Source organism: Homo sapiens, chromosome 10 (genome assembly GCF_000001405.40).
Source record: "Homo sapiens chromosome 10, GRCh38.p14 Primary Assembly".
Lineage (NCBI taxonomy): Eukaryota > Metazoa > Chordata > Mammalia > Primates > Hominidae > Homo > Homo sapiens.
Window position 1 is genome coordinate 102,886,510 of NC_000010.11, and position 11,481 is coordinate 102,897,990.

Sequence of the window (11,481 nt, forward strand, 5' to 3'; positions counted from 1 at the left end):
AGAGACGGGGTTTCACCATATTGGCCAGGCTGGTCTTGAACTCCTGACTCTGCCCGCCTCAGCCTCCCAAAGTTCTGGGATTACAGGTGTTAGCCATTGTGCCCGGCCCTTCTTTCCTTTCTTCTTCTTTCTTTCTCAGGGTCTCACTCTGTCACCTGGACTGGAGTGCAGTGGTGCAATCATGGCTCACAGCAGCTTTGACCTCCTGGGCTCAGGCAATCCTCCTACCCCAGCATCCCAAGTAGCTGGGACTAAGGCTACCATGCCTGGCTGATTTTTGTATTTTCTGTAGAGACAGGCTTTCACCATGTTGCCCAGTCTGCTCTTGAACTCCTGGGCTCAAGCAATCCACCTGCCTTGGCCTCCCAAAGTGCTGAGATCTTATTTGAAATCTTTCAACTTTTTTGATATAGGCATTACTTGAAATCTTTCTACTTTTTTGATATAGGCATTTATTGCTATAAACTTTCCTCTTAGTGCTGCTTCTGCTGTATCCCATAGATTTTTGCATGTTGTATTTCCATTTTCATCTGTTTCAAGATATTTTAAATTTTTCTCCTAATTTCTTCATGGACCCATTGGCTATTCAGGAGCATGTTGTTTAATTTCCATGTGTTTGTGTATTTTCCAAGGTTCTTGTTATTGATTTCTAATTTTATTCCATAGTGGTGAGAAAGATACTTGTTATGATGTCTACTTTTCTGAATTTGTTAAGACTTGTTTTGTGGCCTAAGATATAGTCTATGCTGGAGAATGTTCCATGTGCTATTGAGCAGAATGTCTATTCTGCAGCAGTTGAGTAAAATGCTCTGTGAATGTCAGCTAGGCCTATTTGAGCTAGTATATAGTTTAATGTTTCTTTATTATTTTCTGTCTGGATGATCTGTTTTACTGAGAGTGAGGTGTGGTGTTAGAGTCCCCTACTACTATTGCATTACAGTATATCTCTTCTTTTAGATCTATTAATGTTTGCTTTATATACTTTGGAGCTCCAATGTTGAGTGCAAAGATACTTATATCTTCTTGCTGAATTGACCCCTTTATCATTATATAGTAACCTTCTTTGCCTCTTTGACAGCCTTGATTCACAGTCTGTTTTATCTGATGTAAGTATAGCTACTCCTGTTCTTTTTTGGTTTCCAGTTGCTTGGAATGTCTTTTTTCCACCCCTTAACTTCCAGTATTTTTATAAGTAAAGTAGGTTTCTTGTAGGCAGCATATAATTTGGTCCCATTTTTGTATCCATTCAGCCACTCTATTCCTTTTTTTTGGGGGGGGTTCCCAAGTTTTATTCAAGAACTCATACCAAATATTCCAGATAAATAAATTTTTATCTTCACCTTCCTCCTCTTCTTTTTCCAGGTTAATCTGGAATTAACGTCATTCATAATAACTCTTTTTGCTGTTAGCAACTACACACAACAAATCACATAGATTATTCTTCAAATATTTTTTGGTGAGATATTTCAAATACCTTTTGGAAAAAGGTACCTCAGAAGTCACAGTGATCTTGCTGTTGCTCCTTTCGATGGTTATAATGCTCCACCAAGATTCCCAGCTTTTCCATTCACTTTAATCCTCTCTTGCAAAAACTGCTCAAAATTGGCAGCATCTATGATTCCATTTTCTACAAGGTGGGTACAGTCAAGAGTGAACATCATAACCTGCTTCTTTTTTTGCCTCTCTTTGCCACAAGCTTTTTCACAGCACTATGCCTCTTAATTGGAGAATTGAGTCCATTTACATTTAGTGTTATTATTGATACATAAAGACTTAACATTTTTTTAAATTGATACATAATTGATGTAGCTATTTTGGGGCGTTCATGTGATAATTTAATACATTCATATAATTTGTAAAGATTAAATTAGTGTAATTGGGATACCTATCACCTTCAATATTTGTCTTTTCTTTTCTTTTTTTTTCTGTGAGATGGAGTTTTGCTTTTTTTGCCCAGGCTGGAGTGCAATGGCGCAATCTCGGCTCACTGCAACCTCCACCTCCCGGGTTCAAGCAATTCTCCTGCCTCAGCCTCCCGAGTAGCTGGGATTACAGGCATGCACCACCATGCTCAGCTAATTTTGTATTTTTAGTAGAGACGGGGTTTTACCATGTTGGTCAGGCTGGTCTCGAACTCCTGACCTCAGGTGATCCACTCGCCCTGGCCTACCAAAGTGCTGGGATTATAGGCATGAGCCACCACACCTGGCCCTGTCTTTTCTTTATGTTGGAAACATTCAAATTATTCTCTTCTAGCTATTTTGAAATATACAATATATTATTGTAAACTAGTCACTTTACTGATATATCAAACACTAGGTCTTATTTCTTTCATCAAACCCTATATATATATATATATATATATATATATATTTTTTTTTTTTTTTTTGAGACGGAGTCTCGCTCTGTCTCGCTCTGTCGCCCAGGCTAGAGTGCAGTGGCACAATCTCGGCCCACTGCAAGCTCCGCCTCCCGGGTTCATGCCATTCTCCTGCCTCAGCGCCCCGAGTAGCTGGGACTACAGGTGCCTGCCACCATGCCCGGCTAATTTTTTGTATTTTTAGTAGAGACGGGGTTTTACCATGTTAGCCAGGATGGTCTCAATCTCCTGACCTTGTGATCCACCCACCTCGGCCTCCCAAAGTGCTGGGATTACAGGCTTGAGCCACCGTGCCCGGCCAAACCCTATATTTATAACCATTAATCAACTTCTCTTTATCTCCCCCATTCTGTACCCTTTCTGGCCTTTGGTAACTATCAATATACTCTCTATCTTAATGAGTTCCACTTTTTTTAGCTTCCACATATCAGTGAGAACATATGATATTTGTCTTTCTGTGTTTGCCTTATTTCTCTTAACATGACCTGCAGTTCCATGCATCTTGCTGCAAATGACAGGATTTCCTTCTGTTTTAAAATCTGAATAGTATTCCATTGTGTATATATGCCACGTTTTCCTCATCCATTCATCCATTGCTGGATGCTTAGGTTGATTCCATATCTTGGTTATTGTGATTAATGCTGCAGTCAACATTAGGAGTGCAGATATTTCCCTGACATACTGATTTCATTTCATTCCCTTCCCTTCCCCTGCCTGTCTGCCTGCCTTCCTTCCTTCCTTCCTTCCTTCCTTCCTTTCTTCCTTCCTTCCTTCCCTTCCTCCCTCCACCCCCCCCGCCCCTTTCAGATGGAATCTGGCTCTGTCGCCCAGGCTGGAGTGCAGTGGCGCAATCTCAGCTCACTACAACCTCCGCCTCCTGGGTTCAAGCAATTCTTCTGCCTCAGCCTCCCGAGTAGCTGGGATTACGGGCATGTGCCGCCATACCCAGCTAATTTTTTTGTATTTTTAGTAGAGGCAGGGTTTTACCATATTGGCCAGGCTGGTCTCGAACTCCTGACCTCATGATCCACCTGCCTCAGCCTCCCAAAGTGCTGGGATTACATAGGTGTGAGCCACCGTACACAGCCAGTTTCATTTTCTTTTCTTTTTTTTTTTTTTTTGAGACGGAGTCTCGCTCTGTTGCCCAGGCTGGAGTGCTGGAGTGCAGTGGCACGATCTCGGCTCACTGCAAGCTCCACCTCCCGGGTTCACACCATTCTCCTGCCTCAGCCTCCCAAGTAGCTGGGACAACAGGCGCCTGCCACTATGTCCGGCTAATTTTTTGTATTTTTTTAGTAGAGATGGGGTTTCACTGTGTTAGCCAGGATGGTCTCGATCTCCTGACCTTGTGATCGGCCCACCTCGGCCTCCCAGAGTGCTGGGATTACAGGTGTGAGCCACCGCGCCTGGCCCATTTTCTTTAGATATATACCCAAGTAGGGGGATTGCTGGGTCATATAGTAGTTCTATTTTTAATTTTTTGAGGAATCTCCATACTGTTTCCCATAATGGCTGTACTAATTTAAATTCCCACCAACAGTGTGTAAGGATTAGTGCTGGTGAGGATGTGGAGAAAACGATACTTCTGGGCATTTTTTCTTCTATTGAGACTAAAGTTGCAACTCTTAGTATTTTTTTTTATACTACCCTTTAGGAAGGTGAAATTGTTGAAGTGGATGAAGAAACAGCAGCTATCTTGAAGAATTCAAGATTTGCTCAAGATTTTCTGATCAGACCAATTGGAGAGAAGTTGCCAACATCTGGAGGCTGTTCTGCTTTGGAGTTAAAGGTTAGTTTGGCTTTCACTACCTGAGAGAACTATTTTATTTATTTATTTTTGAGATGGAGTCTCTCTCTGTCACCCAGACTGGAGTGCAGTGGTGTGATCTTGGCTCACTGCAACCTCCGCCTCCTGGGTTCAAGCAATTCTCCCTGCCTCAGCCTCCCGATTAGCTAAGATTACAGGCACCCACCACCACGCCCGGCTAATTTTTGTGTTTTTTAGTAGAGATGGGGTTTCGCCATGTTGGCCAGGCTGGTCTTGAACTCCTGACCTCAGGTAACCCACCTGCCTCAGTCTCCCAAAGTGCTGGGATTACAGGCGTGAGCCACTGTGCCCGGCCAGTATGCATGGTCTCTTGAGGCGCACTTCTCTTGCTGGTCAAATGTTGTTAGACGGTTATATACCAGTTAAACGCCACCATTTTGCCTCTTAATGTGCATGCTTGAGCCCACTTGCCCAACTCCCGAGATCTTATCGGGAAGCTGCTGATCACCAGTTTCAGGTGTTTCTGTTTATTGGGAGACTTCCTTTCCCTGGTACTGTCTGTGACTAATTATGATTTTCGAGAGACAGTTAACAACCACCTGATCATCACCTAATGATCGCCTGACATTCCTGGTGGAGTCGGCGCGGGGAGCCCTCTCCTGCCCTGCTCACGCCTGACTAGCTATTATACCTGCTTTAACAAGTTCTCCAAAATTCAGAGACCTTTCGTGAGTATTCTGATTTTATAATAAAATAGTTATTTGCATAAGTTTAGTAAGAGTCTTTTCTCTCAAAACAGGACAATTGGAGACACTTGGTTATTTTACCAAAGCTTTGACTGGAATAACATTTGTAGGTAAAGTTCCAGCAAAGCCAACTTGAAAAGAGCCTATCTGGCCAAACTCTTGCTGGACTTCATGCAAATGATCAGGCAAAGTTTAATAAGCCTAAAATTTATTTTGCACATAAATTGGCCTTACTATAATTTGTCTTTAGTATAAAAGGAGGAGCTGGGTGCAGAAGTTCACACTCATAATCCCAGCACTTTGGGAGGCTGAGACAGGCAGATCACTTGAGGCCAGGAGTTTGACACCAGCCTGGGTAACATGTTGAAACCCTGTCTCTACCAAAAATACAAAAAAATTATCTGGGTATGGTGGTGCATGCTGGTAGTTCCAGTTACTCAAGAGGCTGAGATGGGAGGATTGCTTGAGCCCAGGGAGGTGGAGGGCAATGAGCCAAGACTGCACCACTGCACTCCAGCCTGGGCAACAGAGTGAGACTCTGTCTCAAAAAAAAAAAAAAAAAAAAAAAAAAGAAAGAAGGCTAGAGAGAGAAATGGTTTCAAAGGAAAACTATAACACTTGTTACTAGATTTCCAGCCTGGACTTTTGTTTTTGAGTGCATATTGAATCATTAATTATTTCTTGGCTACAATAACCCTCTAAAGATAAACCAGGTTATAATTTTTCTTCATGTTTTTAGTTTGTGCCCTAAGTGGAATAGGTTCCTTATTCTGTTCTGACACACGAATACTCTTTTGACTGTCATATTATTAATGTTATTTATAGCTCCTTGTTTTACTTCCAAAGAAACCAGAATCATGATATTCTAAGGTTAGAGAATCCCCCGTTTGGAATCCCACTGGTCCTAATCTGCTTTTCACTGCAAATTCCGTGCTGCTAAAATTATATAAGCACTCTTCTCTAGGCCCAGGGACCTATCACACAAAAGGTAGGTGTGTGAGACTGTAAGGGCCAGTTTTGAGAGAATTATTTCAGACTCTCCAAATCAAAAATGGGCACACAGATGCATAAACAGCTGGTAAAATAAGGGACTCTGCCTCCTGGGTTATTATGTGTGTGGCACCTTTTCATCCATCCCAATCATAAAGAATTTCCTGCTTCTCGTAGAATGAAAAGAAAATTATTACTGAGAGGATATAAAGGTACCTCATGTCAAAGCCTCCTAGGTTTAATACTCTGAGTTATGAGATTTATGCAGATAACATATATATTTTTTAAAATTTTAGAACAGGCCAGGCACAGTGGCTCAAGCCTGTAATCCTAGCACTTTGGGAGGCCAAGGTGGGCAGATTGCCTGAGCTCAGGAGTTCAAGACCAGCCTGGGCAACATGGTGACACCCCATCTCTACTAAAATACAAAAAATAAATTAGATGGGCATGGTGGCGTGCGCCTGTAGTCCCAGCTACTTGGGAGGCTGAGGCAGGAGAATTGCTTGAGCCCGGGAGGCGGAGGTTGCAATGAGACGAGATTGAGATGGCGCCACTGCACTCCAGCCTGGCAACAGAGTGAGACTCTGTCTCAAAATAAATAAATAAATAAATAAATAAATAAATAAATAAATAAATAATTTTAGAACAAATTACTGAAAGACCACAAAAAAAAAAACTGTAGCACAACGGAAGTCTCTAAATTCCTTAGCTTAAAAGGTTTTAACAGTGCTTATGTTTTGTATAGCTAATTGCTGTAAGTCTGTAACTAAAACCAAGATTACAGTAGCACAATGCATAGAAGTTAAAGATAAGTCAATTTTTTAACCTCACCTTTGGCTTTTTGTTTGTTGGCTTTTATATTAAGAAATTTTAAGGGTTTATTAATGCCTATCCACATCCATTCCCATCTGGCCTAGAACTTTCTTTTTTTTGGTGGGGGAGGGGGACGGAGTCTTCCTCTGTCACCCAGGCTGGGGTGCAGTGGCGTGATCTCATCTCACTGCAACCTCCGCCTCACAGGTTCAAGTGATTCTCCTGCCTCAGCCTCCTGAGTAGCTGTAATTACAGGCATGTGCCACCATGCCTGGCTAATTTTTTTTTCTTTTTTTTTTTTTTTTCCGAGATGGAGTCTTGCTCTGTTGCCCAGGCTGGAGTGCAGTGGTGCGACCTCGGCTCACTGCAACCTCTGCCTCCCAAGTTCAAGCGATTCTTCTGCCTCAGCCTCCAGAGTAGATGGGACTACAGGTGCGTGCCACCATGCCTGGCTAATTTTTATTTTATTTTTTTAGTAGAGATGGGGTTTCATCATATTGGCCAGGCTGGTCTCGAACTCCTTACCTCATGATCCACCCACCTTGGCCTCCCAAAGTGCTGGGATTATAGGCATGAGCCACTGTGCCCAGCCCTAATTCGTATTTTTAGTAGAGACAGGGTTTCACCATGTTGGTCAGGCTGGTCTCAAACTGCTGATCTTAGGTGACCAACCTGTCTCGGCCTCCCAAAGTGCTGAGATTACAGGGGTGAACCACCATGCCTGGTCTGGCCTAGAACTTTCAAATTCGCTATGTGTCTTTTGGCTCTAAGCCCCTTGACCATAGGGGTCCCACCAAGGCACAAGATGGACCCAGGGAAGGCAGCTGTGCCACCCCAGCAACACAGTGAGATAAAATAAAAGTTTGGTGACCATTGATGTTGCCTCTGACAAATCTAGGCCAGAATGCGGAGAAAGTAAATCAAAAATAAAATTCTAGGCCGGGCGCGGTGGCTCACACCTGTAATCCCAGCACTTTGGGAGGCCGAGGCGGGTGGATCACAAGGTCAGGAGTTCGAGACCAGCCTGGCCAACATAGTGAAACCCCGTCTCTACTAAAAATAAAAAATCAGCCAGGCGTGGGGGCAGGCACCTGTAGTCCCAGCTACTTGGGAGGCTGAGGCAGGAGAATTCCTTGAACCTGGGAGGTGGAGGTTGCAGTGAGCCGAGATCATGCCACTGCACTCTAACCTGGGCGACAGAGCGAGACTCCATCTCAAAAAATAAAAAAAAATAAAAAAATAAAAAAATAAAATAAAATTATAAACCCTCAACCATCTGAACGGACCCCTCCTGTCGGGCAAAGGCATTGCAAAGTTATCCTAAAAAACTAGTTCAGGTCACGAAGGGAAGGAGAAGTTTGGACATGCCTCATTATTCCCTCCTCCCTTTTGGAATTCAGACACTGCTGACCAGCATTACCATTAAAACAGATCTTAAGACTGATAGAACAGACTCTTTAAATCTGGTAAGAAACATTTACAATCTATTCTCTCTGTAGCCTGCTGCCTAGAGGCTTCATCTGCATGATAAAACCTTGGTCTCCACAATCTCTTATCATAACCTAGACACTCCCTTCTATTGATCCCAGGTCTTTGGATTATAACTCAACCAATTGCCAATCACAAAATCTTTGAATCTGCCTGTGACCTGGAAATCCCCACTTCCAGTTGTCCCACGTTTCTGGTCTGAACCAATGTACATATTATATGTATTGATTGATGTCTTATGTCTCTCTAAAATGTATAAAACCAAGTTATAGGGTGACCACTTTGGGCACATGTTTGCAGATCTCCTGAGGGCTGTGTCACAGGCCATTGGTCACTTATTTGGCTCAGAATAAATCTTTTTAAGTATTTTAGAGTTTGACCCTTTTTGTTGACAATGTTTAACATCCTACAGTTATGACACCCTAATTTGAATTTATACAGCTTAACTTCAATAACATACTAAAATTCTGCTCCTTTAAAGCTTGTTCTCAACTATTTTAGTTCTTTTTTTTTTTTTTCCATTGACAGAGTTTCACTCTATCACCCAGGCTGGAGTGCAGTGGCACGATCTTGGCTCACTGCAGCCTCTGCCTCCTGGGTTCAAGTGATTCTCCTGCCCCAGCCTCACAAGTAGCTGGGATTACAGGTGCGCCAGCCACCATGCCTGGCTAATTTTTTGTATTTTTAGTAGAGGCGGGGTCTCATCATGTTGGCCAGCCTGGTCTCGAACTCCTGACATCAGATGATCCACCAGCCTCGGCCTCCCAAAGTGCTGGGATTACAGGTGTGAACTACCACGCCCGGGTCTTTCTAGTTCTTGATATCACAAAATTATGTCTTTATTCATTTTGTGCCCCCAAAACGTAAACTAATAATTATTTTAAATGCATTGGTCTCTTAAATCATGTGGAAAACAAAAAGTAGAGTTACAAACCATTGTTACAATAATACTAGCTTTGCCGGGTGTGGTGGCTTACGCCACCAGGTGATCCACCCACCTAGGTTGCCCAGCCTGGGCAACAAGAGCACAACTCCATCTCAAAAAAACAAAAACAAATAAACAAAAAACCCCAATAATACCAGCTTTTTTTTTTTTTTGAGACAGAGCTTCGCTCTTGTTGCCCAGGCTAGAGTGCAATGGTGCGGTCTTGGCTCACCGCAACCTCCGCCTCCTGGGTTCAAGCGGTTCTCCTGCCTCAGCTTCCCAAGTAGCTGGGATTACAGGTGCGCACCATCACAGCCGGCTAATTTTTGTATTTTTAGTAGAGACGGGGTTTTACCATGTTGGTCAAGCTGGTCTCAAACTCCTGACCTCAGGTAATCCACCTGCCTTGGCCTCCCAAAGTGCTGGGATTACAGGCATGAGCCACCGTGCCCGGCCAATCCCAGCACTTTGGGAGGCTGAGGCTGGCAGACCACTTGAGGTCAGGAGGTCAAGACCAGCCTGGCCAACATGCTGAAACCGTGTCTGTACTAAAAATACAAAAATTAGCTGGGCACGGTGGCAAATGCCTATAATCCCAGTTACTTGGGGGGCTGAGGCAGGAGGATCGTTTTGAGCCCGGGATGTGGAGGCTGTAGTGAGCCGTGATCACAACACTGTACCCCAGCCTGGGCGACAGAGCAAGACCCTGCCTCAAAAAAAAAAAAAAAAAAGCACAAAGCTTTTTGAGAAATCACTTTCAAAAATGGTACATTTGTAGTTGGGGAAGGTTAATCGAACCTAAAATATAAGAATCCTGGACCCCAAAACCTGGAGCCAGTATTACCAGCATGAATCTAACCCAAGCTCAGTATACAAGCCACCTGTAGAGCTAAAGAGTGATTTACTAGGCCGGGCACGGTGGCTTACGCCTGTAATCCCAGCACTTTGGGAGCCGAGGCGGGTGGATCACGAGGTCAGGAGTTCAAGACCAGCCTGGCCAAGATGGTGAAACCCCGTCTCTACTAAAAATACAAAAAAAATTAGCCGGGCGTGGTGGCATGCGCCTGTAATCCCAGCTACTCCAGAGGCTGAGGCAGAGAATTGCTTAAACCTGGAGGGGCGGAGGTTGCAGTGAGCCGAGATCGCGCCACTGCACTCCAGCTGGGGTGACAGAGTGAGACTCCATCTCAAAAAAAAAAAAAAAGAGTGATTTACTTTCTTTGCTTTATTAAATTCTTCAGCACTCTGCTATTCTGACTCTTCTGTTGTTCGAAGAAGGTGATACTTTGGAAAGTAGACAGATTTGGCTTTTGAGTATTCAATCCATTAAACATTTCAAAAATATGTCACTGATATTTTGAAACTCCTGAGAGTTCATTGATAAGGAAAGCTGCTGGTGAGAATCAATATTTATTTTAAAAGGCTTTTATCATTCTAATTCTTCTAAAACCTGGTTTCCTAAATACTGATTATAAAAGCTATCAGAAGGCGTGGTGGCTCACGCCTGTAATCCCAGCACTTTGGGGAGGCCGAGGCGGGTGGATCACGAGGTCAGGAGATCGAGACCATCCTGGCTAACACGGTGAAACCCCGTCTCTACTAAAAATACAAAAAATTAGCCGGGCGTGGTGGCGGGTGCCTGTAGTCCCAGCTACTCGGGAGGCTGAGGCAGGAGAATGGCGTGAACCCGGGAGGCGGAGCTTGCAGTGAGCAGAGATCATGCCACTGCACTCCAGCCTGGGCGACAGAGTGAGGCTCCGTCTCAAGAAAAAAAAAAAATGCTATCAGAAGATAATGGTTACAAGTAAAGAGGGTCTTTCCTCGAGCTACAGTATTTTCAGTGTACTCTGGCTTTTTTTTTTTCCTTTGAGACAGAGTCTCGCTCTGTCACCCAGGCTGGAGTGCAGTGGCACGATCTTGGCTTACTCCTCCGCCTCCTGGGTTCAAACAATTCTCCTGCCTCAGCTTCCCGAGTAGCTGGGACTACAGGCACACGCCACCACGCCCGGCTCATTTTTTGTATTTTAATAGAGACGGGGTTTCACCGGGTTGCCCAGGCTGGTGGTGAACTCCTGAGCTCAGGCAATCCGCCCGCCTCGGCCTCCCAAAGTGCTGGGATGACAGGTGTGAGCCACTGTGCCCAGCCACTCTGGCTATTTTTTTTAAAAAAGGAGTTAAATGAGTTTGCTTCTGCAGATGACCATTTTCTTTCTGCGTAGCTGTCCTTGTTCTCCCTCCCAGTGTGCGTGCAACACATGTACAGGAGGTTCTTGACCTTAGATATAAATTGTAAAATTCCACATATTTGAACTGGTTTATCCCAACATAAGGTCTCCTTTCTGCTTTATTTCAGCCTGCAGATGTGCCAATG

The 11,481-nt window shown here is 43.9% G+C and overlaps 1 protein-coding gene, 1 long non-coding RNA gene and 1 pseudogene across 2 annotated transcripts in view; 2 read left to right on the forward strand and 1 right to left on the reverse strand.

The window, feature by feature from the left end:
* The window catches only part of BORCS7-ASMT (BORCS7-ASMT readthrough (NMD candidate)), a 47,690-nt gene that overhangs the window by 32,300 nt on the left and 3,909 nt on the right, over positions 1-11,481 (forward strand). The window contains exon 14 of the long non-coding RNA NR_037644.1: positions 4,035-4,169. This is a non-coding gene — a long non-coding RNA (BORCS7-ASMT readthrough (NMD candidate)). The remainder of the gene's footprint in view (positions 1-4,034; positions 4,170-11,481) is intronic.
* The window catches only part of AS3MT (arsenite methyltransferase), a 32,430-nt gene that overhangs the window by 17,040 nt on the left and 3,909 nt on the right, over positions 1-11,481 (forward strand). Inside the window, exon 10 of the mRNA NM_020682.4 lies at positions 4,035-4,169. Within this exon, the coding sequence (NP_065733.2) occupies positions 4,035-4,169 (135 nt within the window). The remainder of the gene's footprint in view (positions 1-4,034; positions 4,170-11,481) is intronic.
* RPL22P17 (ribosomal protein L22 pseudogene 17) lies at positions 1,277-1,707 on the reverse strand (annotated as a pseudogene).